The 27,689-nt window shown below is 52.4% G+C and overlaps 1 protein-coding gene and 1 long non-coding RNA gene across 3 annotated transcripts, besides 13 other annotated features; one reads left to right on the top strand and one right to left on the bottom strand.

The window, feature by feature from the left end:
- LOC124904735 (uncharacterized) lies at positions 514-2,568 on the bottom strand. Its single transcript, XR_007067284.1, has 2 exons — positions 2,059-2,568; positions 514-1,246 (listed from the first exon to the last, which is right to left on the bottom strand). It is a non-coding gene; the product is annotated as an uncharacterized LOC124904735 (long non-coding RNA).
- Positions 1,561-1,620: an enhancer, noted in NCBI's record as "active region_14881". NCBI's record gives its function as "activates an Ori minimal core promoter by ATAC-STARR-seq in GM12878 lymphoblastoid cells {active_cell/tissue: GM12878}" and the evidence as "EXISTENCE:reporter gene assay evidence [ECO:0000049][PMID:35858748]".
- Positions 1,631-1,690: an enhancer, noted in NCBI's record as "active region_14880". NCBI's record gives its function as "activates an Ori minimal core promoter by ATAC-STARR-seq in GM12878 lymphoblastoid cells {active_cell/tissue: GM12878}" and the evidence as "EXISTENCE:reporter gene assay evidence [ECO:0000049][PMID:35858748]".
- Positions 1,801-2,090: a silencer, noted in NCBI's record as "silent region_10876". NCBI's record gives its function as "represses an Ori minimal core promoter by ATAC-STARR-seq in GM12878 lymphoblastoid cells {active_cell/tissue: GM12878}" and the evidence as "EXISTENCE:reporter gene assay evidence [ECO:0000049][PMID:35858748]".
- Positions 1,801-2,204: a biological region, named in NCBI's record as "Sharpr-MPRA regulatory region 73".
- Positions 1,910-2,204: an enhancer, noted in NCBI's record as "tiled region #73; HepG2 Activating non-DNase unmatched - State 8:EnhW, and K562 Activating non-DNase unmatched - State 1:Tss". NCBI's record gives its function as "activates a minimal TATA promoter and a strong SV40 promoter by Sharpr-MPRA in HepG2 and K562 cells {active_cell/tissue: HepG2 | K562}" and the evidence as "EXISTENCE:reporter gene assay evidence [ECO:0000049][PMID:27701403]".
- Positions 2,065-27,584, top strand: ODAD1 (outer dynein arm docking complex subunit 1). Of its 2 annotated transcripts, NM_001364171.2 has the most exons (16): positions 2,065-2,358; positions 3,225-3,264; positions 3,645-3,737; positions 5,224-5,323; positions 5,460-5,649; positions 11,920-12,042; positions 12,370-12,483; positions 17,713-17,780; positions 19,896-20,083; positions 20,252-20,386; positions 20,941-21,023; positions 21,174-21,342; positions 25,696-25,859; positions 25,939-26,036; positions 26,368-26,446; positions 26,518-27,574. In NM_001364171.2, the coding sequence occupies exons 3-16, from the start codon at positions 3,668-3,670 to the stop codon at positions 27,058-27,060; spliced, it is 2,124 nt and encodes a 707-aa protein (NP_001351100.1). In that variant the 5' UTR covers positions 2,065-2,358; positions 3,225-3,264; positions 3,645-3,667; the 3' UTR covers positions 27,061-27,574. The 2 variants fall into 2 exon arrangements, with proteins under 2 accessions (NP_001351100.1, NP_653178.3); NM_144577.4 differs by lacking the exons at positions 2,065-2,358; positions 3,225-3,264; positions 3,645-3,737 and adding an exon at positions 4,537-4,602 and having other exon boundaries at positions 26,518-27,584.
- Positions 2,211-2,450: an enhancer, noted in NCBI's record as "active region_14879". NCBI's record gives its function as "activates an Ori minimal core promoter by ATAC-STARR-seq in GM12878 lymphoblastoid cells {active_cell/tissue: GM12878}" and the evidence as "EXISTENCE:reporter gene assay evidence [ECO:0000049][PMID:35858748]".
- Positions 2,561-2,680: a silencer, noted in NCBI's record as "silent region_10875". NCBI's record gives its function as "represses an Ori minimal core promoter by ATAC-STARR-seq in GM12878 lymphoblastoid cells {active_cell/tissue: GM12878}" and the evidence as "EXISTENCE:reporter gene assay evidence [ECO:0000049][PMID:35858748]".
- Positions 3,730-4,024: an enhancer, noted in NCBI's record as "tiled region #8297; K562 Activating DNase unmatched - State 5:Enh". NCBI's record gives its function as "activates a minimal TATA promoter and a strong SV40 promoter by Sharpr-MPRA in K562 cells {active_cell/tissue: K562}" and the evidence as "EXISTENCE:reporter gene assay evidence [ECO:0000049][PMID:27701403]".
- Positions 14,305-14,994: an enhancer, noted in NCBI's record as "H3K4me1 hESC enhancer chr19:48812299-48812988 (GRCh37/hg19 assembly coordinates)". NCBI's record gives its function as "activates a minimal SCP1, AML or CMV promoter by ChIP-STARR-seq in primed H9 embryonic stem cells {active_cell/tissue: H9 hESC(primed)}" and the evidence as "EXISTENCE:reporter gene assay evidence [ECO:0000049][PMID:30033119]".
- Positions 14,995-15,685: an enhancer, noted in NCBI's record as "H3K4me1 hESC enhancer chr19:48811608-48812298 (GRCh37/hg19 assembly coordinates)". NCBI's record gives its function as "activates a minimal SCP1, AML or CMV promoter by ChIP-STARR-seq in naive H9 embryonic stem cells {active_cell/tissue: H9 hESC(naive)}" and the evidence as "EXISTENCE:reporter gene assay evidence [ECO:0000049][PMID:30033119]".
- Positions 19,664-20,187: an enhancer, noted in NCBI's record as "H3K4me1 hESC enhancer chr19:48807106-48807629 (GRCh37/hg19 assembly coordinates)". NCBI's record gives its function as "activates a minimal SCP1, AML or CMV promoter by ChIP-STARR-seq in naive H9 embryonic stem cells {active_cell/tissue: H9 hESC(naive)}" and the evidence as "EXISTENCE:reporter gene assay evidence [ECO:0000049][PMID:30033119]".
- Positions 20,188-20,712: an enhancer, noted in NCBI's record as "H3K4me1 hESC enhancer chr19:48806581-48807105 (GRCh37/hg19 assembly coordinates)". NCBI's record gives its function as "activates a minimal SCP1, AML or CMV promoter by ChIP-STARR-seq in naive H9 embryonic stem cells {active_cell/tissue: H9 hESC(naive)}" and the evidence as "EXISTENCE:reporter gene assay evidence [ECO:0000049][PMID:30033119]".
- Positions 26,379-26,896: an enhancer, noted in NCBI's record as "H3K27ac-H3K4me1 hESC enhancer chr19:48800397-48800914 (GRCh37/hg19 assembly coordinates)". NCBI's record gives its function as "activates a minimal SCP1, AML or CMV promoter by ChIP-STARR-seq in primed H9 embryonic stem cells {active_cell/tissue: H9 hESC(primed)}" and the evidence as "EXISTENCE:reporter gene assay evidence [ECO:0000049][PMID:30033119]".

The following is a 27,689-nucleotide window of genomic DNA, read 5'->3' as shown; positions in this document are numbered from 1 at the left end:
ACTCAGGAGGCTGAGACAGGAGAATTGCTTGAACCCGGGAGGCGGAGGTTGCAGTAAGCTGAAATCACGCTACTGCACTCCATCCTGGGTGACAGAGCAAGACTCCATCTTAAAGAAAAAAAAAAATAAAAGAAGAAAAGAAAAATAAATACAATAATAAATCAAACAGAGTGATGGAGATAATGACAGAGTGCAGGGAAGACTACTTGAAACAGGAAAATCAGGGAAGGCCTCTTGGAGGAGGTAACATTTGAGCTGAAGACAGGAGTCATTTGAACGCTGGGGTTGGGGAGTGGTGGGGGGGCGTCGGGGGGAGAGGAAGTGCAAAAGCTCTTAAAGCTTTTGAGAACAAGCTCAGGTTGTTTAGGGAGCAGACAGAAGGGCCAGTGTGGCTGGAGCACAGGGAGACAGAGGGAGTGGTGAGAAGGGAAATCAAAGGGTGCCCTTGAAGACTAGGGGAGGGGCTTGGATTTCATTCTAAGTGCAGTGGAAAGCCATTAGGTTTTAACAGAGTGTAGTACCAAAGATTTTTATTTTTTTTTTGAGATGGAGTCTTGCTCTGTCATCCAGGCTGGAGTGCAGTGGCATGATCTCAGCTCACTGCAACCTCCACCTCCCGGTTCAAGCGATTCTCCTGCCTCAGCCTCCTGAGTAGCTGGGATTACAGGTGCCCGCCACCACGCCCAGCCAATTTTTGTATTTTTAGTAGAGACGGGGGTTTCTCCATGTTGGCCAGGCTGGCCTCGAACTCCTGACCTCCAGTGATCTGCCTGCCTTGGCCTCCCAAAATGATGGGATTACAGGCGTAAGACACTGTGCCTGGCCCCAAAGGTTTACTGTTAACTATTATTATTAATTTTGGGGATATTAAATTAGGGTCGGGGTGATGACTACTATGTACACGAGTCTCTTGGGAGGGGACCAGGTGCCCAGAACTCTGATAAATTGAGAGCAGGGGAATTCAAATCCTGGATCCAGGGAAGGGAACTGGATGATGGGATGTCTGGGTATCTGATGGGCCAGAGCTGGGTTTGGGATAGCTGTTGGTGATTCGGGCTCCCTGAGGGGGTGAGGGATGGACAGTTCAGTGCTTGGCTGGGTACCCCAAGACCTGGAAGCTGGAATACCAGTATAGCACAGACTCTAGAGCCACACTGGTTGGACTCAAAATCCAAGCTGTTTTACTCAATGGCTGTGTAATTTTTGGCAAGTTACTAATAACTTCTCTATGCCTCAGTCTCTTCATCTGAAAAATAGAGATAATAGTAAATACATTATAGGGCAGTTCTTAGGGTAGTGCTAGTCATATCAGGCATTGGGGCTCTGAGTGGAGTCAGTACTGGGGGACCCTGATTCAGGATCTCTAGGAGTTGGGGAAGGGGCAAATTCTTGGGTCCATTGGGTCTCAAGGCTAAAGTTGGGAATCCAAAATGAGGGTCCCTGGGGGAGAATAAGTAGTCTCAAACTTAAGTGCCTGAGAGACAGAAACTGGGGTCCGCACTCAGATCCCTAAGGAAGTTGCAAAGTCTGGGTCACTGAAGGAAAAATTAGGGGCTGGGGAGACATACGTTCCTCTTGGGGAGCAGGAAAAGAGGGCTCCACTTTCTTGAGAGGACTAGGGGGAGCCAGGGGCTAGGAAGATGGAAACTTGAGCCGGGGAGGTGAAAAACACGAGTCTAGGACTCAGAATCAAGTTCCCTGAGTGGGATCGGCGCCAGGCTTGGGTACCCTGGGGATATTAGGGGGGTCCCCGCACTATGGCTATGTAGAAGGGGAAGAATCAAAGGATCTGAGGGTGGCGGCGGGATCTCCCCATCCTGGGCCTCCGAGATTATGAGCTGAGCTGAGCGTACGCAGGCCGCTTCCTCCCACAGGAAACCGCAGGCTTCGGGCACACCCAGCCTGCAGGGAGAGGCGCCCACTGCCCGCCCGCCCGGGGAGGCCCACGTGGGCAGCAGCCGCCGCCGCGGAGGGGGCGTGCCTTACAGAGCGAGTGGGTGTAACCAGAGGGGGCGTGGCCAGAAACCGGGGGGCGGTATGGAGTGCCCGAGGTCTCACCCACTTCCGCCCTCCAGCGCGCGGACGTGGTAGGCGGCCAAGCGTTTTTGGCTGCTTCCCGGGAAGCCGTTGGTCGCGCTTGCGTAGTGAACCGCTGAGGCTGTGTTGAGCGCTCCTTCTCCGCGCAACTCCCGGCTTCGACACCGCCTTCCTTCCTATGAATCCTTAATTTAACGTGGTCACAGTCAGCTTAAGACCGGCACCTCTCGGGCTCCGTCTTGTAGGACCTCGGCCTGGCTTCGAGGGCTTCCATACAGGTCACCGCAGGCTCTTTCAACTCCCGCCGCTTCCAGGCCCGCGGTACTAGTGAGACCTCAGCCTCGACCTCCCCAGGACCATTTCGACCTCCCGCAGGCCTTCAAGGCCTGAGCGCCTCCCGATTAGCCCGCCCTTCACCGCCCTTCCACCGGGCCCCTCGTAAGGCCTTCCAAACGCGACCCTCGAAGCCCGCCCCTTACGGGGAAGCCCCTCCGCTCGCTGTCTGCGAAGCCCCGTCCTGTACTGGTGTCCGTGCCCCTCCCCTCGCCGGCCCCGAAGCCCCGCCCCTCGAAGTTCTTCCCACTCACTCTCCTCACAGGTCTCAGCCCCGCCCATCACAGCTCCCTACGGCACGCCCCTCTCAGGCCTCACAGCCGTGCACCTCTCAGGGCTCCGCAGCACCGCTCCACAGGCCCTCCCGGCTCCGCCCCTTTCAGGACCTCGCCGCCCATCAGTTTTGTTTGTTTGTTTGTTTGTTTTTTGAGACGGAGTCTCGCTCTGTCGCCCAGGCTGGAGTGCAGTGGCGGGATCTCGGCTCACTGCAACCTCCGCCTCCCGGGTTCAAGCGATTCTCCTGCCCCAGCCTCCTGAGTAGCTGGGATTACAGGCACGAGCCGCCATGTCCGGCTAATTTTTTGTACTTTTAGTAGAGACGGGGTTTCACCATGTTGGCCAGGTTGGTCTCGAACTCGTGACCTCAAGTGATGCGCCCGCCTCGGCCTCCCAAAATGCTGGGATTGCAGGCGTGAGCCACCGCGCCTGGCCTTGCCCATCAGTTCTCAGTCCGTGGGAACCCTGCAGGTCTACGCCTCGCATCCTTCTCCGCCCCTCCTCCCATAGTTTCTCCCGCGGCCTCAGTCCCTCCCTGGCCGCTGTCCTCAGTCCTCATTGGTCCCTTATCTCCCCAGTAACCAGACCACAACACTGAACTTGGAGCACCAAGAACAGGTCAGGCCCGTCGGCAGGTAGGGCCCAGGACTCCCCCGACCCTGCCCAACCCCCACTACAGCAGGCCGGGGTTTCCCCCTCTCCTGCGACCAAACAGCCTGGCCTCAGATATCCTGAGAGCCCAGGAGGCCTGTCCCCTGCCAAACCCGCGCCAGAATCGGAGCCTAGACGCAAGACCCAGAGTGTGAGAGGTGGGAGGGCTGGAGAGGTGTGGGAGAGGCCTGAGAGAGGTCCCCCTCCAACCCCTCTTGGAGGAATGAGGCCAGCGTGGTTCTAGGGTCACCCCCTTTCAATTCCCAGTCCCTCGCAGTTCATTGTCCACCCTCTCTGGGCCCTGGCCCGCCTGCTGTCTGAAGGGTCTTATATGTCCATCCCTACAGGAGCCCCACCCTGTTTGGCCAGGATGCCTTTGGGACGCTTGGCAGGGAGCGCCCGCTCCGAGGAGGGAAGCGAGGCATTTCTGGAGGGAATGGGTAATTCATTCATTCTTTATATCATTCACCCATTCTTTTCCAGCCCCCAGCTTTCCCAAGTTCCAGGTCCTGTAGGGAGGGAGGGAGAGTGTCTGTCCAGGAGCGCCCTCTGGTGGGAACAGACATGCGCCCTAAGGGAGGCGGGGCGGGCACCACGGTGGGTGGGCCAAGCCTGGGCAGTGGGGCAGGCTGGAGACTTCAGGCAGCAGAAGTTTGAGTGGGGCCCAGAACTCCCTGTAGGAATTGCCAAGGGGAGAAGGAAGGAAGGGTGTTTCTACAGAGATGACAGAATGTGGCTAGAGTAGGCTTTCTCAACCTTGGTACTGTTGACTCTTGGGGTGGGATAATTCTTTGTTGTGGGGGCAGTCCTGTGTGTCGTAGGATGCCAAGCAGTGTCCATGGCTTCTACTCACTGGATACCAGTAGCCCCCTCCCTTCTCCACAAGTCATGACAATGACAAATGTCTCTAGGCTGAGCATGCTGGCTCATGCCTGTAATCCCAGCACTTTGGGAAGCTGAGGAAGGAGGATCACTTGAGCCCAGGAGTTCAAGACCAGCCTGAGCAACACAGTGAGACCTCATCTCTACAAAAATAAAATAAAATTAGCCAGGTGTGATGGCGTGCACCCATAATCCCAGCTACTCGGGAGGCTGAGGTGGGCGGATCACTTGAGCCTGCGAGGTGGAGGCTGCAGTGAGCTGAGATTGTGCCACTGCGCTAGAGCCTGGGGGACAGAGCGAGACCCTGTCTAGAAAAAAATAAGTCTCCAGACATTGCCAAATGTTTTTGGAAGGCAGAATCACCCGCTGATTGAAAACTACTGGGCCTTTGGAGATGGGGAGCATACGGGCAAGACTGGAGAGGTGGGTAAGGTCAGGTCACTTGGGGTCTGGGATCCCAGGCTGAGGTGCTGAGACTTTGTCCTGCAGGTACTGGGGCATCATGGGAGGCCTATGAGGGGTAGGGTCTGCTGTGGGTGGGGTAGGGTTGGCTGTGGGTGTAGAGAGACCCTCTGGGACTGTGCAGGAAGGCTGGAAGTTGAGAGAAAGGTTGGGGTGATGGTCCAGGTAGGAGAGGATGAGGCTGAGCCCAGGGGATGGGTTGAGAGAGGGAGGAGGCAAGAGGATGGGGCTGAGGGCTGCTGATGGTGGGGCAGAAAAGGAGGGAGGGAGCAAGAGCCTTCCCAATTCCAGGTGGTGTGCCCAGGTCCCAGAAGACCCAGAGGCCTTCCAGAAGTGCCCTCTGGTGGGATGGGAGTGGGTTTTAGGGGAAAAAAACCCTGAGTTCAGTTTTGGGTATGAAGGGATGAGGAAGCTCGAGGGATCCCGGAACTGAGGTGCATTCCTAGAGGGGTGTTGGGGGCTGGATCTGCAGTTCAGTTGCAGTTTGTGAGACCCCAAAGGGAGCAGAATTCCTAGGTCCTGGGTTGGGAGGAGCTGGTGGCCAGGATCCCTGCTGAGTCCCTTGGCTGGCCCTGTTCTCAGTGGATTGGGAGCTGAGTAGGCTGCAGCGACAATGCAAAGTGATGGAAGGGGAGAGGCGGGCCTACAGCAAGGAAGTCCACCAGCGCATCAACAAGCAACTGTGAGCTGGGCGCCTGGGCCCTGAGCTGGGGAGGAGGGGGTCAGAGGGGCTGAAGACTGGACTCCTGGGTCCTGCCTTTAGTGATGCTGAGTTCTGCCCCCTTACTGGCCCCTCTTCCACCTCCCTGCCTGGGTAGTGAGGAGATCCGGCGCTTGGAGGAGGTACGGGGCGATCTCCAGGTGCAGATCAGCGCAGCCCAGAACCAGGTCAAGCGGCTTCGGGACAGTCAGCGGCTGGAGAACATGGACCGCCTGCTGAAGGGCCGGGCCCAGGTGCAGGCGGAGATCGAGGAGCTGCAGGAGCAGACCAGGGCCCTGGACAAGCAGGTGGGGTTTGAGAGGTGGTTCTACGGATCCTGCTTACGGGCAAGTGTTGTAACCTCCCTGAGCCTTAGCTTCCTCATGTGAAATTGGGGCTATTAGGCCGGGCACAGTGGCTCATGCCTGTAATCCCAGCACATTGGGAGGCTGAGGCGGGCAGATCACTTGAGGTCAGGAGTTCAAGACCAGCCTGGCCAACGTGGTGAAACCCCATCTCTACAAAAAATACAAAAATTAGCCAGGCATGGTGGCACATGCCTGTAATCCCAGCTACTCGAGAGGCTGAAGCAGGAGAATAGTTTTTCTTTTGTTTTGTTTTTGAGACGGAGTCTTGCTCTGTCGCCCAGGCTGGAGTGCATTGGCACAATCTCGGCTCACTGCAAGCTTCGCCTCCCAGGTTCATGCTATTCTCCTGCCTCAGCTTCCCGAGTAGCTGGGACTACAGGTGCCCACCACCAGGCCTGGCTACTTTTTTTGTATTTTTAGTAGAGACAGGATTTTACTGTGTTAGCCAAGATGGTCTTGATCTCCTGACCTTGTGATCCGCCCACCTCGGCCTCCCAAAGTGCTGAGATTACAGGCGTGAGCCACTGTGCTCGGCCAGGAGAATCGTTTAAACCCGGGGGGCAGAGGTTTCAGTGAGCCAAGATCGCGCCGCTGCACTCCAGCCTGGTTGACAGAGCAAGACTCTGTCTCAAAAAAAAAAAAAAATCGGGGCTATTGAAAGCATCCATCTGGTAGAGTTGTGTTCAGTGGAAACATAGATGTTTGCTGCTTTAGCACAGTCCCAGGCATTCAAAAACAGGACTGGTGTGGTTAAGCAGGAAAGGTTCGCATGTTAGAGTCCCCAAAACCTGCATTAGAGTCCTGGCTCTGCCATCGGAGCTCTGTGATCGGGGGCAGGCAGGTTTTCCCCTCTCTGGGCCCTAGTTTCTTCATCTGCAAACAAGGACGGTGGTAATGCCACAGTCTAGACAGGTTGCGAATCCCATCTGTTTTGGGACCTTGCTATTTGACCTTGCAAACAATGTGATTTTTCTAGGCCAGTGATCTGTCAAGTTTTTATGACCATGACTCATGAGGTGTAGTTCATACACACCAAGATGCATACAGATATACACACACACATATATTAATATATCTGAAACAGAAGTTTCAGCAAATAATATATATATATATATACATTTTTTAATGTGGGATTCATTCTGCTAAATTCTGGTCTAGCCTTCATTGAAAAAACCAATTTGTCAGTTGGGCACAGTGGTGCGTGTCTTGAGGCTGAGGGGGCAGAGCTACTTGAGCCCAGGAGTTTGAGGCTTCAGTGAGCTGTGATTGCCCCGTTGCACTCCAGCCTGGGCAACAGAGAGAGACCCACTTTCTTTTTCTTTTCAAGACAAAGTCTCGCTCTGTCACCCAGGCTGGAGTGCAGTGGCTGGCAGGATCTTGGCTCACTGCAACCTCCACCTCCCAGGTTCAAGCGATCCTCCTGCCTCAGCCTCCTGAGTAGCTGGGATTACAGGCACGTGCCACCAAGCCCAGCTCATTTTTGTATTTTTTGGTAGAGATGAGGTTTTGCCATGTTGGCCAGGCTGGTCTCAAACTCGTGGCCTCAGGTGATCCACTCACCGTGGCCTCCCAAAGTGCTGGGGTTACAAGCGTGAGCCATTGTGCCTGGCTCGGAACCCCTTTAAAAAACAAAAACCAGTGATGCGGCCACAGGTAAGGAGTCCCCAAGTCAAGGAATCCCATCTGCAGAAACTGGCAAAGGCAAGGAATGAAAAGACAAGGTCCAGACTGGGAGAAAATATCTGCAAAGCACGTATCTGATAGAGAACTTGTATCCAGAATATATTAAGAACTTTCCCAAACTCCATTAAAAAGACGGTCCATACCAAGTGTTGCGGGAAGGATGTAGAGGAAGCAGAACTCTCATACTCCACTGGTGGGAATGTGGAATGGCACACTACTTTTGGTACACAGTTTGCACAGTTAGGCAGGTTTGTTTTTTTTTTTTTGACGAAGTCTCGCTCTGTCACCCAGGCTGGAGTGCAATGGCACAATGTCAACTCACTGCAACCTCTGTCTCCTGGGTTCAAACATTCTCCTGTCTCAGCCTCCTGAGTAGCTGGGATTACAGGTGTGTGCCACCACTCCCAGCTAATTTTTATATTTTTAGTAGAGATGGGGGGTTTCACTATGTTGGCCAGGCTGGTCTTGAACTCCTGACCTCAAGTGATCCACCTGCCTCGGCCTTCCAAAGTGCTGGGATTACAGGTGTGGGCCACCGTGCCTGGCCCAGTTTGGCAGTTGCCAAAAAACAAAACGTATACTTGACAATATGATTCAGACATTCCACTCCTAGATGTTTAGCCAAGAGGAAAGAAAGCACATGTCCATATAATGAATTGTACATGAATATTCATAACAACCCAACTTGATTTGTAAAATCGAAAACTGAAACAACCCAAATGTCCATCGGTGGTCGAGTGGACGAGCAAATTGTGGTCTATACATGGAATGGAATGTGACTCATGAATAAAAGGAACCGGCTATTGATACACACAACATGGGTGAATCTCAAAATAACTACTCTGAGTGAAAGAAACCAGATACCCCTTTGATCCCCAAAAGAGTCCTTACTATACAATTCCATTAATATAAAATTCTAGAAAATCAAACCAATCTATAGTGACAGAAAACAGATGAGTGATTGCTGGGGGGAGACTCGACTGCAGGAAGAGGATGAGGTGAGGAAATACAAAAGGGCATGAGGAAACTTTTAGGGGCGATGGATATTTTCACTATTTTATGTCAAAACATAACAATTACACAGTTTATTTATTTATTTAGAGATGGAGTCTCGCTCTGTCACCCAGGCTGGAGTGCAGTGGCGCAGTCTCAGCTCACTGCAATCTCCACCTCCTGGGTTCAAGCAACTCTTCTGCCTCAGCCTCCTGGGTAGTTGGGACTACGGGTGCCTGCCACGATGCCTGGCTAATTTTGTATTTTTAGTAGAGACGGGGTTTCGCCATGTTGGCCAGGCTGGTCTCGAACTCCTGACCTCAGGGGATCTGCCCACCTCAGCCTCCCAAAGTGCTGGGATTACAGGCGTGAGCCACCGTGCCCATCCCACATTGAACACTAAATATGTGCAGTTTTACCGTATGTCATCTCTTCTTTCATAAAGCAATTACTGAGGCAGGAGGATTGCTTGAGCCTGGCCTGGGAGGTGGAGGCTGCAGTGAGCTATGATGGTGCCACTGCACTCGGCCTGGGTGACAGAGTGAGACCCTGTCTCTAAAAAAAAGAAAAAATAAAAGAAAGAAAGAAAATTTTGTTGGGATTCATGTGCAGTTGAAAGAAATAATGCAGAGACATCCCTTGTACACTTTGCTGCATTTTCCCCCAGTGTCAACATTTTGGACATTTCTTTTTCTTTTCTTTTTTGAGGTGGAGTCTCGCTCAGTCACCCAGGCTGGAGTGCAGTGGTGCAATCTCGGCTCATTGCAGCCTCCACCTCCCAGGCCAGGCTCAAGTGATTCTCGTGCTTCAGCCACCCGAGTAGCTGGGATTACAGTCACGTGCCATTACGCCCAGCTAATTTTTGTATTTTTAGTAGAGATGGGGTTTCACCATTTTGGCCAGGCTGGTCTCAAACTCCTGACCTCAGGTGATCCACTCGCCTCGGCCTCTCAAAGTGCTGGGATTACAGGCGTGAGACACTGCGCCCACCAACAATTGGGTATTTGGCTTTTATTGCAGCAACTGCTGAAAATCCAGTCTCACAAAGATGTGACATCTTCAAAAGGATGATAGCGCCCTCTCATGTTGAACTTGTGAACTGCCTTAAGCTAGCAGTTCATGTGGTATCTGACCAATATCAAGGTCTTCCTCAAAAATTTAAAACATCCTCATGCTGAGTCTTAAGTTTGCTGCAGCCTTCTGGGGTATCTTTGGTACGTGGATTAGTTTGTTAGGGCTGCTATGACAAAGTTCCACAAATTGGGTGGCTCGTATAACAAAAATATGTTTTCTCATAGTTCCAAAGGCCAGAAGTCCAAGATCAAGATGTAGGCAGGTTTGGTTCCTTCTGAGCAGTGTGGGGGAGAATCTGTCTGTTCCATGCCTCTCTCTCTCTGCTTCTGCCGGTTTGCTGGCAGTCTTGGGTACTTTGGCTTGTAGACATGTCACCCAATCTCTCAGCTCACTGCAGCCTCCACCCCCTGGGTTCAAGCGATTCTCCTGCCTCAGCCTCCCAAGTAGCTGGGATTACAGGCATGTGCCACCACACCTGGCTAATTTTTGTATGTTTAGTAGAGATGGGGTTTCGCCATGTTGGCCAGGCTGGTCTCGAACTCCTGACCTCAAGTTATCCACCCATCTCAGCCTCCGAAAGTGTTGGGATTACAGGCGTGAGCCACCACACCTGACCTCTGTCTTTATCCTTACGTGGCATTCTCCCTGTGTGCGTATCTATGTCCAAATTTCCTTTTTTGTTTTGTTTTGTTTTGAGACAGGATCTCCCTCTGTCACCCAGGCTGGAGTACAGTGGCTCAATCACAGCTCACTGCAGCTTCGAGCTCCTTGTCTCAAGGGATCTGCCACCTCAGCTTCCCAAGTAGCTAGGACTACAGGTGTGCACCACCATGCCCAGCTAATTTATTTTGTATCTTGTAGAGATGGGGTCTTGCTTTGTGGCCCAGGCTGGTCTTGAACTCCTGGCTTCGAGAGATCATCCTGCCTCAGCCTTCCAAAGTATTGGGATTACAGGCATGAGCCACCACACCCAGCAATTTCCCATTTTTCTAAGAACACCTCGTCGTAGTGGATTAGGGCCCACCTTAATTACCTCATTTTAATTACTTCTATGAAGACTCTGTCTCCAAATAAGGTCACATTCTAAAGTACTGGGGGTTAAGACTTCAACATGTGAGGTTTTTTTTTGGTTTTTTTTTTTTTTTTTTTTGAGATGGAGTCTTGTTCTGTTCCCCAGGCTGGAGTGCAGTGGCACAATCTCAGCTCACTGCAACCTCTCCTCCTGGGTTCAAGCAATTCTCCTGCCTCAGCCTCCCGAGTAGCTGGGATTACAGGTGCCTGCCACCACGCCTTGCTAATTTTTGTATTTTAGTAGAGGTGGGGTTTCGCCATGTTGGCCAGGGTGGTCTTGAACTCCTGACCTCAGCTGATTCACCCACCTCTGCCTCCCAGAGTGCTGGGATTACAGGTGTGAGCCACCGTGCCCGGCCAACATATGAGTTTTTATGGGACATGATTCAACCCATAACAGAGCACAAATTGAAGTGTTGAGCAATTCATTTATCTATTTAGTCTGCATGTTATGTTGAATACCTTCTTTGTCTCGGACAGGGAGAAAACACAAGACTCTGTGTCCTCATGGAACCCCCAGTTTGCTGGGAGAGACAGAGCACACCCCAATAAGTACAGATGAATACAGAAATGAGGACAGATTGGAAGCTGGTCTTAGGCATAAGCAGACCCAGGGCTACTAATGTCATCAAGTTCATTCTCACCGTCTCTCCGACTCTCATCTCCACTTCTGTCCACTGGCCTCATTCTCCCAGGACCCTCCCTGTGGTGGGGCCATGACAGGAGAAGTCCTGGAATCCCATCCTTCCATCTCATGTGCTTCCCCCAGACTATCAGGAAAGGAGTCAGGGCCGGGTGCAGTGGCTCTTGCCTGTAATCCCAGCACTTTGGGAGGCCAAGGCGGGTGGATCACTTGAGGTCAGGAGTTCAAGATCAGCCTGGCCAACATGGTGAAACCCCATCTCTACTAAAAATACAAAAATTAGCTGGGTGTGGTGGTACGTGCCTGTAATCCCAGCTACTCGGGAGGTTGAGGCACTAGAATTGCTCGAGCCTGGGAGGTGGAGGTTGCAGTGAGCCAAGATCGCGCCACTGCACACTCCAGCCTGGGAGACAGAGCAAGACTCTGTCTCAAAAAAAAAAAAAAAAAAAACAAAAAAAAAAACGGAAAGGAGTCAGGCTAGCTCCATGGGGTCACATTCCCATCTCTAGGCCAATCCCTGTGAGTGTCCAGACCTGGGTCATGTGGCTGATAGGGTGATACACTGTGGTTGGAAGGCCCACCAGAACCACATGGAGGGCTGGATAGTGTCAGCAGAAGGGTAGATGTTATTCTGGGGTGACAGGGACAGCAGATGTTTGCCATGCTTAGTGACTCATTTTCCCTGGGCCATTCAATCTCTCCCACATTCAGGCAACCAAAAACAGGTACCATCCTCTTTCTTGTAGATCCAGGAGTGGGAGACGCGGATCTTTACCCACAGTAAGAATGTCAGGTCCCCGGGATTCATCCTGGATCAGAAGGTCAAGATCAGGCGAAGGATCAGGATCCTAGAAAACCAGTTGGACAGGGTGAGGGTCAAACTCCTGGTCCCTCGACCTGAATTGTGCGGTTATGGGAAGAACTGGGCATGGTCATTGGATTCTGGAAATGCTGGGCAGTGTGTGCACATATGTGTCAGGACACAGGATTCTGGAGGGATGGAGGTTCCCAAGGAAAGGAGAATGATGGGTCCTTAGAGGGGAGTGGACATTGATTTCGGGAACCCCAAAGAACCTCTGTTTCTCAGGAAACAGGCCGGCCCAACCTCTGATAAGTGTCTCCTCCTTGGCTGAGCTTGGAGGAGGCAGGCAGACTTGGCTTCAGACCCACTCTTCCATCCACCTTTCTACTCCCAGGTCACCTGTCACTTTGACAACCAGCTGGTACGGAATGCGGCCCTGCGGGAGGAGCTGGATCTGCTGCGGATCGACAGGAACCGCTATCTGAACGTGGACCGCAAGCTGAAGAAGGTCAGTGGCCCTGAAATCCAGGGGAGGAGACAGGGACCCCTGCGCAGGTCCTCCCCACAGCTGTTTGCCCTTCCTGCTCTAGCACTCAGGCCTCAAGTATGGGATTGACTAGAGCGGTAGGCTTGCTTTAGTCCAAAAGGCATGGAGGCCTGGGAAATGTTGGAGGACATTTCCAACAAAAAAGTGGCCTCATTTATAGTTGTAGAAAGCAGAATGTCATTCTGAATAGTATCACCCAGGGCAATCTATGAGCAAGCAAGACCATTTATTATACATTCCACGGGGATCTTTGAAGAACCAGCCCTGTCCCCTCTCTTTTGACTTTCTTTCTTTCTTTGTTTTGAGATGAGTCTCACTCTGTCGTCCAGGCTGGAGCACAGTGAAGTGATCTTGGCTCACTACAGCCTGTGCCTCCCAGATTCAAGCAATTCTCCTGTATCAGCCTCCCGAGTAGCTGGGACTACAGGGGCCTGCCACCACGCCCAGCTAATTTTTTGTATTTTTAGTAGAGATGGGGTTTCACTGTGTTAGCCAGGATGGTCTCGATCTCCTGACCTCGTGATCCGCCTTCCTCGGCCTCCCAAAGTGCTGGGATTACAGGCGTGAGCCACCACACCCGGCCGATTTTTTTTTTTTTAAGTAGGGACAGGGTTTCACCATGTTGCCCAGGCTAGTCTTGAATTCCTGAGCTCAGGCAATTCGCCTGCCTCGGCCTCCCAAAGTGCTGGGATTAGAGGCGTGAGCCACTGCGTCCGGTCTTGACTTTCATTTGGAAATAATTTCAAATTACAGAAAAAGGTGCAAGAATTATACAAAGAACTCCTATATATCTTTCACCCAGTTTGATAATTTGCCACATTTATTTTCTCTTTCTCCCCCACTCTTACTATTGGTGTGTGTAATTATTGTTTTGCTGAGAATAATTTATTATCCTGAATGCTGAACTGTTTGACAATATGTTGTAGACATTATGCTCCTAAGTACTTGAGAGAGCATTTCCTAAGAACAACGCCATTTCCTTACATAAACACAGTGCTGTTATCCAAGTCAGGGAGGTTAACATTGTTAGAATTCTAAACCGTCCATATGTCAAGGTCACTGATTGTCCCAGTGATGTCCTTTACAGTGAACTTGATTTTCCTACTCTAGGCTCCGGTCCAGAATCTCACGTTGCATTTGGTTGTTCTGGCTCTGTTCATCTGGGTCAGTCCCTTGGGCTTTTTTTTCTCCATGACGTTGACATTTTGGAAGCATCCAGGCCGTTTGTGTTGTGCGATGTCCCCTGACATGGGTTTATCTGGTCTTTTTTTTCTTTTTTGATACTAAGTTTCACTCTTGTTGCCCAGGCTGGAGTGTAATGGCGTGATCTTGGCTCGCTGCAACCTCCACCTCCCGGGTTCAAGTGATTCTCCTGCCTCAGCCTCCTGAGTAGCTGGGATTACAGGCATGCACCACCATGCCCGGCTAATTTTGTATTTTTAGTAGAGACAGGGTTTCTCCATGTTGGTCAGGCTGATCTCAAACTCCTGACCTAAGGTGTTCCACCCGCCTCAGCCTCCCAAAGTTCTGGGATTACAGGCATGAGCCACCACGCCCGGCCGGTTTATCTGATCTTTCTTCATGATTAGACTTGGCATCTGCACTTTGGGGGGAATGTCACAGCAGTGATAGTGTGTCCTTCCTGTGCAAGATCTCAGGAGGCACCTGATGTCAACTTGTCCCATGACTAGTGATGTTGTCTTTGATCACTTGGCTAGCCAGGAAGAGTTTTCCTTTTTGTAGTGAATAAGTGGTCTGTGGGGAGATTCTCTGAGACTGTGTAAATATCTTGTCCCCTGACACACCTTCACTCAATCATTTTGTTACGGGATATTTACGGCGTCACTTTTCTGGCTGGAAACCTCCTTGGCCAGTGGTGCCTTTGCCCGAGTTCTTGTACTGTGTCCAGGAAGAAGGAGGTAGGCAGACAAGTGGAGCGTGAGCAAGATGAAGAGGAGCTTTACCGAGTGTTAGGACAGCTCAGAGGAGACCTGCAGGGGGCAGCTCCTCTGCAGGCAGGTCGTCTCGTCCAGTGTTCAGCTATCAGCAGTGAGGAGGCCCTGGAGAGGGTGGTTCCTCTCCGCAGGCAGATTGTTCAGATGTCTCTGCAGGCCTCTGAAGCTCTCAGCAGAGAGGGTAGCTCCATGGGTGGCCATGGGCAGGCCTGGAGGAGACGTTGCAAGTCCCCACTCATTTTGCAGTACTGGCAACCTGGCCCCCAGCCTTCAGGCCCTCCCTGGCTTGAAGGAGGGACCTTACCGGGTACTTGCCCTCTTCTGCCCAGGAATCTGCCTGCCTCCTGCTGCCATTCATGGCACTGGGCTGGACCCCAACCCCTCTCTGAGATCAGAGTGGGTGTGAGAGAGGAGAGAGGCCAAGCAGCAGGAGCAGACACGCTCGAGCCTGCAGGGATCGGGGTGGGGAGGGGGGTGCGGTGGTGCTTTCCTGGGCCGTTCAGGGTACAGGCTGCAGAGAACTTCAGAGATGCCTAGGTCCTGTGGTTGGGAGGGTGGCTGCAGCTGCACTCTGGGAGCTCCCACCCCACCAACTCGGAAGGGGCAGGACCCTCGCTTGTCCCCGGCTGCTGCCTGCTCCCTGGAGTGGGAGGCCCGGGTCTGTAGCTGCGGGTTGGGCAGCTGCAGCTGCACCCGGGAGGGCAGATCCTGCCTGCTCCTGGCTCCCTGCAAGAGCACAGAGAGGCTCAGATCCACAGCAGCAGTTTGGGCAGCTGTAGTCCCGCCCAGGAGGGCGGGGATCCTGCCTGCTCTGTGGAGCAGAAGGCCTGGGTCTGCAGCTGTGGTTCTGGTGGCTGCAGCTGCACACGGGGAGCTCCCATCCCAACTCAGAAGGGTCAGGGCTCCTACCGGCTCCATGGAGTGTGCAGCCACAGCCAGCAGCTACTGCCATCAATTTTATCATCCATGAATGATTCTTCCCTGAATGGTTATTACTGTAATGGCTGCAACAGGGTAATTTAAAAGACTCTGTCATTTCTCCCACATTTATAAGATCGCATTTTCCTTAAGGAAACACTTCTCGGCTGGGTGTGGTGGCTCATGCCTGTAATTCCAGCACTTTGGGAGGCTGAGGCAGGCGGATCACCTGAGGTCAGGAGTTCGAGACCAGCCTGGCTAACATGGTGAAACCCCGTTTCTACTAAAAATACAAAAAATTAGCCAGGTGTGGTGGTGCACGCCTGTAATCCCAGCTACTTGGGAGGCTGAGGCAGGAGAATCACTTGAACCAGGGAGCTGGAGGCTGCAGTGAGCCAAGATTGTGCCATTGCACTCCAGCCTGGGCAACAAGAGTGAAACTCTGTCTCAAAAAAAAAAAAAGCAAAAAGGAAACACTTCTCTTTCTCCCCCTGTATATTTGAGTGTTGTCAGTGAGCATTAGTGTATTCTGACTTTATAGATGATGATCCGTAACTGCCATTCATTTTAATATTCAAATTGCCCCAGATTTGGTTAGTGGGAGCCCCTTCAAGCTGGCTTCTGTGGCCTTTGGACATACCCCATCACTTTTTGGGAGTACTTCCTCACTTTCTGGCACACGAAGATAGTCTGGGTAATCTGGACCTTGTTCTGCCCCATCCCTGGGGTTGGCCATTTTTCTGAGGAGTCCCGGTTCTTTCTAGGGAAGAGTAGGTGTTGAGGCACTAAGAGACCGTTTTCTTTTTTTTTTTTTTTTTGAGACGGAGTCTCGCTTTGTCACCCAGGCTAAAGTGCTGGAGTGCAGTGGCATGATCTCGGCTCACTGCAAGCTCCGCCTCCCAGGTTCACGCCGTTCTCCTGCCTCAGCCTCCCGAGTAGCTGGGACTACAGGCACCTGCCACCACGCCCGGCTAATTTTTTGTATTTTTAGTAGAGACGGGGTTTTGCCGTGTTAGCCAGGATGGTCTCGATCTCCTGACCTCGTGATCCGCCCACCTCGGCCTCCCACAGTGCTGGGATTACAGGCGTGAACCACCAGCCTGGCACTAAGAGACTCTGTTGCTACTTGGGTGTCATTGCTTTGAGGCCCTTCCTCTGGAGAGAGCTAGGAAGCACACATATTTTATATGTTTTAAAATTCTATTTATGTTTTGTAGAGATGGGGTCTTACTATGTTGTCCAGGCTGCTCTCAAACTCTTGGGCTCAGGTGATTCTCCTGCCTTGGCCTCACAAAGTATTGGGATTACAGGCATGAGCCACTGCGCCTGGCTGACATATTTTACAATAGTGAGTTCACATTGATACCTCTGATTCCATTCCAATATCACCAGCTTTTTCCTGAGCATTCCTCATTTCATCTTTCTTTCTTTCTTTCTTTCTTTTTTTTTTTCTTTTGAGATGGAGTCTCACTCTTGTTGCCCAGGCTAGGGTGCAATGGCACGATCTCGGCTCACCACAACCTCCGCCTCCCGGATTCAAGCTATTCTTCTGCCTCATTGTCCCAAGTAGCTGGGATTACAGGCATGCACCACCACGCCTGGTTAATTTTTTGTATTTTTAGTAGAGACAGGGTTTCTCCATGTTGGTCAGGCTGGTCTCAAACTCCCGACCTCAGGTGATCCTCCCGTCTTGGCCTCCCAAAGTGCTGGGATTACAGTCGTGAGCCACCGCGCCTGGCCCTAATTTTGTATTTTTAATAGAGATGGAGTTTCTCTATGTTGGCCAGGCTGGTCTCGAACTCCCAAGCTCAGGTGATCTGCCCGCCTCGTCCTCCCAAACTGCTGGGATTATGGGCCTGAGCCACCGCACCTGGCCCTATTATTATTTTTAAATAAAGTTCACTTGCTTCCATTTGCATTCAGTTTTAGTTTTCTCTCCTCTCTTTATTGATTTAATTTCCTTTATGAATATGTAAAACATTAACAAGGTTCTCAAATCAAACTATTCCAAAAGGTCTCCTAGGGAAACGTCATTTCCTCTCCATCTCCTCCACCTCATTTCCACCCAGTCCCCGTAGGTTACTAAATATTTTCTTAGTTTCTGCTTATCTACAGAAAGAGCCTTTTGATCCAGCTTATCAATTTGACTTCACACCTCTTTAAAATCCCTTTCATGGGCAGTCGCTAATGAGGAGGGTCCACATTTGGAAGGCTCAAGAGCTTTACTCCTTATTGGAGAAGCACGGGGCCAAAAGGAAAGACTTCGAGCAATGGGGTTGTAAGAAGTGGCACTGATTTTTTTCTCCTCCCCCCACAGGAGATCCACCACCTGCATCACCTGGTCAGCACCCTTATCCTCTCCTCCACCTCTGCCTACGCCGTCAGGTAGAGACTGCGGGTATCCTGGGATGGCGGGACCCAGATGACTCAGGACGCACCTTTCCATAAGGCAGTGATGGGAAGGTTCAGGACTCATGAAACACGTCAGAACCTATTTTTTCTCCCATAATATCCCCTTTTTCTCTCTCCCCGCCACCAGTTCCCCACCTCCACTGGCAAGGTCCTGTTCTGTCTTTTTTTTTGAGACAGAGTCTGGCTCTGTCGCCCAGGCTACAGTGCAGTTGCGCTATCTTGGCTCACTGCAACCTCTACCTCCCAGGTTCAAACAATTCTCCTGCCTCAGCCTCCCGAGTAGCTGGGATTACAGGTGCCCGGCACCGTGGCTGGCTAATTTTTGTATTTTTAGTAGAGATGGGGTTTCACCATCTTGACCAGGCTGGTCTTGAACTCCTGAGCTCATGATCTACCCGCCTCTGCCTCCCAAAGTGCTGGGATTACAGGCATGAGCCATTGCACCCCACCGGCCCTGTTCTTTTTCTTGGGCATGTAAATTAACCTCTACTGACCCCATCTAGCACATAAGAATGTATCTACTGGCTGGGCGAGGTGGCTCACGCCTGTAATCCCAACACTTTGGGAGGCCAAGGCAGGCAGATTGCTTGAGCTCAGGAGTTCGAGACCAGCCTGGCCAACATGGTGAAATCCCATCTCTACCAAAAATATAAAAACTTAGCTGGGCATGGTGGCGGGTGTCTGTGGTCCCAGCTACTTGGGAGGCTGAGGTGGGAGGATTGCTTGAGCCCTGGGGGCGGAGGTTGCAGTGAGCCGAGATTGCACCACTGCATTCCAGCCTGGGCAACAGAGTGAGACTCCGTCTCAGGAGAAAAAAAAAAAAAAAGCGCATCTAGCACATATATAGTGCAGCAGGGTTCCTGGAAGCATCTGGCGAATTTGTTATTCGTCAGCATTGGTTGCAAGGGACAGAGATCCTCTCGGGCCACCTTCAGATAGAGGCACACTGTAAGGAGTTGAGGAGCTGAAGCTGCTTTAGGTGTTGGCTTCTCTCTCCCTCTCTGGGGCTCTCATGAGCTCCATGCTCTCTCTCTCACTCCATCCCTGTCTCTTTCTCAGCTTCGCCCTCTTCTTTTGCTCCAAATGCTTTCTTACCTTCTACTAAGTTCTTCTCTGGCTTCTGTTTTCTCATGGTCCCTGATCGACATCAGCTGTGGCCTGGGTCGGCCTTAGGGTCTCTGTGATTTCTCTCTTTCTCTCTCTCTGTTAAAACAAACGTGGCAAAATTCACCATTTTAAAGCGTAGAATGTAGCAGCATTTAGTACATTCACGGGGCCGTGCAACCGCACCACTTCTGTCTAGATCTGAAATATTTCCATCACTCCAAAAGGAAAACTACCTGCCACCGGGAAGTACAGGAATCCTCGCTTTTTAGTCTTACTTGGGAGAAAGAATTCTGCCAAGAGACTGATTTAGCCAACAAAGAGAATTTACTGAAGGCAAATAGAGAACAGAGAGTTTACCTAGAGAGAGACAGTACACTCTGAAGGATGAGGAGAGCAGGCTGCTGAAAGAACGTGAGCCAGCAGCACACCGAGAGTTTTGTGTTGTGTTTCTAATATGATGTCGCACTCTTTTGAAGTTCTTGCTTCTGTCTTTTTTTTTTTTTTGAGACAGTTTCGCTCTTGCCACCCAGGCTGGAGTGCAGTGGTGCGATCTCAGCTCACTGCAATCTTCACCTCCCAGGTTCAAGCGATTCTCTTGCCTCAGCCTCCCAAGTAGTTGGGATTACAGGCATGCACCACCAGGTCTGGCTAATTTTTGTATTTTTAGTAGAGATGGAGTTTCACCATGTTGGCCAGGCTGGTTTCAAACTCCTGACTGCAGGTGATCCTCCTGCCTCCCAAAGTGCTGGGATTACAGCCTGAGCCACCGTGCCCAGCCAGTTCTCTGCTTTTTGTGACCACAGGATAACTGCAACCTGATTCAGCCCCATTCCTGTGACCCCAGGCTGGCCCTGCCCATCTGGGACACCAGCTGACTCCACCTCACCCCCCACAACCTCTGGCTGACCCCGCCCATCCCCAGGACCCCAGGCCGACCCCAGTCCAGCCTCCAGTCATCCTGACCCCGGCTGACCCCCGCAGGGAGGAGGCGAAGGCCAAGATGGGCTTGCTGCGGGAGCGCGCGGAGAAAGAGGAGGCCCAGAGCGAGATGGAGGCGCAGGTCCTGCAGCGGCAGATCTTGCACCTGGAGCAGCTGCACCACTTCCTCAAGCTCAAGAACAACGACCGGCAGCCGGATCCCGATGTCCTGGAGAAGCGTGAAAAGCAGGGTGAGGCTGGGGCTGCTGCCTTTGCATCTCAAGGGCCTGGCCGCCCCTGGGGCACCTGCAGCACACCTTCGTGCCCCAGGTGGGACCACACTTCGCTCCCCCTCACCCAGGAGGTCTCTGTGTTGGAGGCCACCCAGGAGGCCGACCTGCTGTTCTCTCTTCCCCTAGCCGGGGAGGTGGCCGAGGGCGTCTGGAAGACCTCCCAGGAGAGGCTGGTGCTTTGCTACGAGGACGCCCTGAATAAACTGTCCCAGCTGATGGGGGAGAGTGACCCTGACCTGTTGGTGCAGAAGTATCTGGAGAGTGAGTGGGGCCCTGGGTGGAGGGAGGAGGCCCGGGACCCCGGCACCCCCTGAGTCCAGTGCAGGCTGGCCTCAGCTCTGGCCCTGGGGAACTCCTCCATCTGTGCTGGAGGAACAAGGCGTCATGCCTGGGACCCGCCGCCCGCGTCCACTGGCGTCTTACCGTGGCCCTGTCTCTGCCCCTCCCCACCCCCTCCTAACTCCTGGGCCTGGGGTCACTCTCCACATCCTTCCCTCAACCCTGTCCCTCTCTGTTTCTCTCCTTACCCATATCTACCGTTCTCCCCGCCTGCATCTCCCCATCTCCCTTGCTATTGCCGAGTCTCTGGCTTTCCCTCTCTGCCTTGCTGTGTATTTCTGTGTCCCACCTGCCGTATCTTCCCACACCTCTTTGTCTCTGTGACTCCTCTCTGTTCGTCTCTCTGCCTTGGTTTCTGTGTGGCCTTCCTCATCTTCACTTTCTTTGGCCTTCTGTATGCCTCTCTGTCTCTGTTCTCTCTGTCTCTGTTTCTCTGTCTCCCTCTCTCTGGGCCCCGCCTTGCCCAACTCTCCCAGTCGAGGAGCGCAACTTTGCTGAGTTCAACTTCATCAACGAGCAGAACTTGGAGCTGGAGCATGTGCAGGAAGAGATCAAGGAGGTGAGTGAGGCCTGCCCTCTCCATCTCCTCCTCTCCTCCCGGCCTCCCCGCCCCCTTCCCTCCCTCAGCCTGCCTCCTGCTTCTTCCTAGCTCCACACCCCCAACTCCCGAGGCTGCCATCTGGCCCAGCATTCAGCCCTGTCCCCACAGATGCAGGAGGCTTTGGTGAGCGCACGTGCCAGCAAGGATGACCAGCATTTGCTGCAGGAGCAGCAGCAGAAGGTGTTGCAGCAGCGCATGGACAAGGTGCACTCGGAGGCTGAGCGCCTTGAGGCCCGCTTCCAGGATGTGCGGGGACAGCTGGAGAAGCTCAAGGCTGGTGAGCACCCATGGGCGCCCCCTCCCGAGCCTGGCTTCTCCACTTGGAAGGACACCATCAGCCCGCGGGGCTTGGAGGCATTGCATGGACAACCTGGTTCACTTGCTTATCAGTTGCCCCATATCTGTCCATCTTTCCAACCAGGGTCTATCCCTCCAACTGTCCCATGTCCATCTATCCATCCATCATCTGTCCCTCCAACTGTCCTACACCCATCCATCCATCCATCTATCAATGCATCCATCCATCCATCTAGGGTTGATCCCTCCAACTGTCCCATATCCATCCATCCATCCATCCATCCATCCATCCATCCATCCATCCATTCAACGTCTGTCTCTCCAATTATCCTATATCCATCCATCCATTCAGAGTCTATCCCTTCAACTGTCCTATATCCATCATCCATTCAGGATCTATTCCTTCATCTGTCCTATATCTATCTCTCCATCCAGGGTCTATCCCTCCATTCTGTCCCATATCCATCTATCTATCCAGGGTCTGTTCCTTCATCTGTTCTATATCTATCTACCCATCCAGGACCTACCCCTCCATCTGTCCTATATCCATCCATCCATTCATCCATCCATCCATCCATTCATCCACCCATCCATCCATCCATCCAGGGTCTATTCCTCCAACTGTCCTGTATCCATCATTCATCCAGGATCTATTCCTTCATCTGTCCTATATCTATCTCTCCATCCAGGTTCTATACCTCCATCTGTCCCATATCCATCTATCTATCCAGGGTCTATTCCTTCATCTGTCCCATATCTATCCATCCAGGATCTACCCCTTCATCTGTCCTATATCCATCTGTCCGTATATCCATCCATCCATCCATCCATCCATCCATCCATCCATCCATCCATCCAGGATCTATTCCTCCAACTGTCCCATGTCCATCCATCCATGCAGGGTCTATCCCTCCAACTGTCCCATGTCCATCCATCCATCCAGGGTCTATCCCTCCATCTGTCCCATGTCCATCAATCCATCCATTGTCTATCTGTCCATCTGCCTCCAACAGCCCCACATCCATCTGTTCATCCATCTATCTGCAATGACATTTGACTTTTGTCTTCCTAGTCTTAGTCTTAGTTACCAAATTTCTTCTTAGTCTTAGTTACCAAATTTCTTCTTAGTCTTAGTTACCAAAAATGTTATTATTTGTAAAGAAAATGATGATAAAATATAATAGCAATGTTTATTATGTGTCATTCACTGTGCAAGGCACTTATGCATTATTCCACTTGTTTCACAAAACACTAAAAAACAGATGCTGTCCCTCCAACTGTCCCATATCCATCATCCACCCATCCATCCATCTACCCAGTATTCATCCATGGATCATCCATGTACATCTCTGTCTATAAATGCCTAGCAGTGGGACCGATGGGTCTTAGGGTAGGTATATGTTGATATTTATTAGAAAATGCCGAACAGTTTTCCACACTGGTCGCAAGATTTTATGCTCTCACCTATGCGAGCATATGGGAGTCCCCGATGATCCACACCTTTTCCACCACTTCCTAGTGTCAGCCATTTTTTATCTTGTTTTGTTTTTGAGATGCAGTCTTGCTCTGTCACCAGGCTGGAGTGCAATGGCATGATCTCGGCTCACTGCAACCTCCGCTTCCTGGGTTCAAGCGATTCTCCTGCCTCAGCCTCTCCAGTAGCTGGGACTACAGGTGTGCGCCACCACGCCCAGCTAATTTTTGTATTTTTAGTAGAGTCGGGGTTTCATCACGTTGGCTAGGATGGTCTCGATCTCTTGACCTCGTGATCTGCCCGCCTCGGCCTCCCAAAGTGCTGGGATTACAGGCGTGAGCCCCCGTGCCTGGCCGTCAGCCATTTTAATATTAGCCATCTAACGTGTGTGCCGTACTCTCTCTATTAATTTAATTGGCATTTCCCTGGTGACTAATAATATTGAGCATCGTATTGGCCATTCAGATGTTTTTGTAAAGTTCCTGTTCAATCTTGTGCACTTGTTTTTTTAAAAATTGGGTTTGTCTTGCTATAACTGAGTTGAAGGAGTTCTTTGTATATTCTAGATACTAGACTTTTGGTAAATATTTTCTCTTATACTGTAGCTTGCCTTTTCATTTTTTTTGGTGATGAACTGAAGTTTCTTAGTTTTGAGGATATCTAATTTATGAAATTTTCTTTTTGTAGTTAATGACTTTGTGGCCTGCCTAAGAAATTTTTGCCTGTCCTGAGGTTACAAAGGCATTATGCTGTGTTTTCTCCTAGAAGTTTCATTGTTTGAACTCCCACATTGAAGTCTGTGACTTATGACAAATTGATTTGCATTATGGTATGAGGTAGGGGTCTAGAGTTTCCTTTTTAAAAATTTTTTTAGATTTTTTTCATTTATTTATTTTTTGAGAGGAATTTCGCTCTTTTGCCCAGGCTGGAGTGCAGTGGCACAATCTCGGCTCACTGCAACCTCTGCCACCCAGGTTCAAGCAGTTCTGCCTCAGCCTCCTGAGTTGCTGGGATTACAGGTGCCCGCCACCACGCCCAACTAATTTTGGTATTTTTAGTAGAGACGGGGTTTCGCCATGTTGGCAGGCTGGTCTCAAACTCCTGACCTCAGGTGATCTGCCCGCCTCAGTATCCCAAAGTGCTGGGATTACATATGCATGAGCCACTGTGCCCGGCCCTTTTTTTTTTTAGAGATAGGATTTTACTATGTTGTCCAGGCTAGTCTTGAACTCCTGGACTCAAGTGATCCTCCTGTCTTGGACTCCCAAAGTGCTGGGATTATAGGCATGAGCCACCACTCCTGGCTGAGTTTCTTTTTTTTTTTTTTAATCCCTTCTGTGGGTATGTTGCATCCACCTGTGCATCCTTTTTTTCTATTATTATTATTATTTTTTAAAATTTGAGAAAGTCTCGCTCTGTTCCCCAGGTTGGAGTGCAGTGGCACGATCTCGGCTCACTGCAATCTCCCCCTCCTGGTTCAAGCGATTCTCCTGCCTCAGCCTCCCAGTAGCTGGGATTACAGGCACACACCACCACACCCAGCTAATTTTTGTATTTTTAGTGGAGGGGGGTTTTGCCATGTTGGTCAGGCTGGTCTCAAACTCCTGACTTGAGGTGATCCACCCGCCTTGGCTTCCCAAAGTGCTGGGATTACAGGTGTGAGCCACTGCGCCGGGCCTCATCTTTCTTATTTTTCAGGAAGTAGCCATGCAGAGCACTCAGGAGTCAGGCTGTCCTGTTTCTTTTCTCTTTTTTAAAACATTTATTGTTAGCTTTTATTTGTTTTTTTGAGATGGAATCTCACGCTGTCAGCCAGGCTGGAGAGCAGTGGTGTGATCTGGGCTTACTGCAACGTCCATCTCCCGGGTTCAAGCAATTCTCCTGCCTCAGCCTCTCCAGTAACTGGGATTACAGGCCTGCACTACCATGCCCGGCTAGTTTTTTTGTATTTTTAGTAGAGACAGGGTTTCACCATGGTGGCCAGGCTGGTCTCAAACTCCTGACCTCAAATGATCTGCCTGCCTTGGCTTCCCAAAGTGCTGGATTACAGGCGTGAGCCACTGCACCCAGCCTGTCCTGGGTTTGAATCTCAGCTCCACCAATTGTGAACCTTGGTGTGTGGCTTCCTCCTTCCGCTCTGGGAATGGGGATGGCAGTGCCTACTTTGCAGGGTTGTCATGAGAATTAGAAGGGATGACGGATGGAGAGAAAGGTGGGGGGTGGTGGGGAGCGAGCTGGAGAGCCTCCTCGGGGCATACCGTAGGAGCTCAGATATGGGCAGGTCCTCCTTCCTGCTGTCGTGATGGCTGATCCGAGCCCTGTGCTAGGTGATGTGGGCACAGTGGGGAGAGGCCCTGGAGGGGACTGACCTGCGCACTGGGCACTCATCACTCAGGGGCTAGGACAGAGGACGCCCAGGCACTGGGGGCGAGAGAAGGCCCTAACTCAGTCTGGGGTGCAAGACCATAATTTGTGGGGCCCAGTGCAGAATGAGGGGCCCCTTGTTAAAAAATTGCTGAGATTTTCAAGATAGGAAGAGCAGCAGCGTGTCAAGCCAAGTGCAGGCCCCTCACCACTGCCTGGATCTCACACTCATGAGGCTGGCTCTGCTGGGGTCACTGGGAAGGCTTCCTGGAGGCAGTGACACTTGAGGCTGACTTTGAAGGACAAGTCAGGGAGAGAGGGATGCACAGCAGTGCCGTCCCCCTGCCTGGCTGGCTGAGCTCGGGTGACTCCCTTTTGGTCTCTGAGCCTTGACCGCAGTCTCTGTAGAATGGGGCAGTGAGGACCTGAGTGGGGAGAGGGCTGGCACCCAGCTGGCGGTGCCAGATCCCTGACAACCGGCCCTCCATGACGCAGATATCCAGCTCCTCTTCACCAAGGCCCATTGCGACAGCAGCATGATCGATGACCTCCTTGGGGTCAAGACCAGCATGGGAGACCGGGACATGGGCCTCTTCCTGAGCCTCATTGAGAAGCGGCTGGTGGAGCTCCTGACAGTGCAGGCCTTCCTACATGCCCAGGTGGGAGACGGCAGGGAGCCGGGACAGGAGGCCGGTCTCGGGGGTGGCCCAGCTGACCGCAGGCTCCCACACTCTCCAGAGCTTCACCTCCCTGGCCGACGCTGCCCTCCTAGTGCTGGGCCAGAGCCTGGAGGACCTTCCGAAGAAGATGGCCCCACTTCAGCCCCCTGACACTCTGTGAGGCGCAGGGCAGGAGGGACGCAGAGGGGACGGGGCTTCCATGGGGGCAGAGGGAACACACAGGATAGAGAGTTTTGGGGGGCTTTTGGGGACTGGCTGGCGGATGTGGCCCTGGGGGGTTAGAATATGAAGTATGTGCTTCGAGGCAGCCAGAAGGAGTAGGGGCTTGGCACCTGTGTGGGAGGATGGGGCCCCGGGTGCCCCAGAAGGGAAGGGCACTCGGGGCTGGTGGGAGAATGGCTGAGGCTCCCGGGGTTTAGCAGGAAGGGCCGCTGGCCTTTTTGAGGGCTGAGGTCTAGTCTTTTCCAATTTTCCTTCCCCTCCCCAGAGAAGACCCCCCGGGTTTTGAGGCCAGCGATGACTACCCCATGAGCAGGGAGGAGCTGCTGAGCCAAGTGGAGAAGCTGGTGAGAGTGGGGCCTGCGGGGGTGGGGCCAGGCCTCAGTGTGTGTCGGGGCCCAGTTCACCTTCCCTGCAGGTGGAGCTCCAGGAGCAGGCGGAGGCGCAGCGCCAGAAGGACCTGGCCGCCGCCGCCGCGAAGCTGGACGGCACCCTGAGCGTGGACCTGGCCAGCACCCAGAGGGCCGGCTCCAGTACCGTCCTGGTGCCCACCAGGCACCCCCATGCCATCCCCGGGTCCATTTTGAGCCACAAGACTAGCAGAGACCGTGGCTCTCTTGGCCACGTCACTTTTGGCGGCCTCAGCTCCAGCACTGGGCATTTGCCCAGCCACATCACGCACGGTGACCCCAACACTGGCCACGTGACCTTCGGCTCCACCAGTGCCTCGAGTGGGGGCCACGTGACCTTCAGACCCGTCAGCGCCAGCAGCTACCTGGGCTCCACTGGATACGTGGGGTCCAGCAGGGGCGGAGAAAACACAGAGGGTGGTGTGGAGAGCGGAGGCACAGCGTCTGATTCGAGCGGAGGCCTCGGGTCCAGCAGAGACCACGTCTCCAGCACCGGCCCTGCCTCCAGCACTGGCCCGGGCTCCTCCACCAGCAAAGACTCCCGGGGCTAACACGAGGGGCACGCAGCCCCCACCCTGCCCTGGCTCTCTGTGGGGTCTTTTTTTGTGTCTCTACTTCCCCTGTTTGCCTTGTGGGTCTCTGTCTTTTTCTCCCAGTGGCAGGCCTCTGTCTTTTTGCCCCTTCAACTGTTTTCATCTGCCCTTCATCACCGCCTCACCTGTGTCTCCCGGTTCCTTTCTCTCTGCTCCTGACACTGCTTTTCCCTCTGACTCCTGATCTCCTGTTCTCTGGGCTTCCTGGTCAGTGTCTGTCCGTCTTGTCTCCATATCTGCCCCTTCCCTGTCTGCTGAGCCCTGGCCCCCTGTGGATCCCCCACCTCCTGTTTCCGGCTCTCTCTCCTCATCTCCATCTCCCAGGCTCTCCACGCATCCTGTGTCCCTGTCTCTGTAGCTCCTTACTCCCCAAGAGCCCCCCAGTGCTGACAGGTGTGGGAAAAGTCAGGGCGAAGACGCCAGGTTCAGCATGGGAAAATGGGACTGTGGAAATAAAGTATATGTGTGGAGAGCTGGCTTCAGCCATGGCTGCTTCCTCTACCTCCAGCCTGGGGGTAATCTGTGACCCTGTCCCGATTCCCTGCCATTCATTCATTCATTCATTCATTCACTCACTCATTCAGCGT

Source organism: Homo sapiens, chromosome 19 (assembly GCF_000001405.40).
Source record: "Homo sapiens chromosome 19, GRCh38.p14 Primary Assembly".
In the NCBI taxonomy this organism is placed as follows: Eukaryota; Metazoa; Chordata; class Mammalia; order Primates; family Hominidae; genus Homo; species Homo sapiens.
This window is presented reverse-complemented; position numbering and strand designations above follow the sequence as displayed.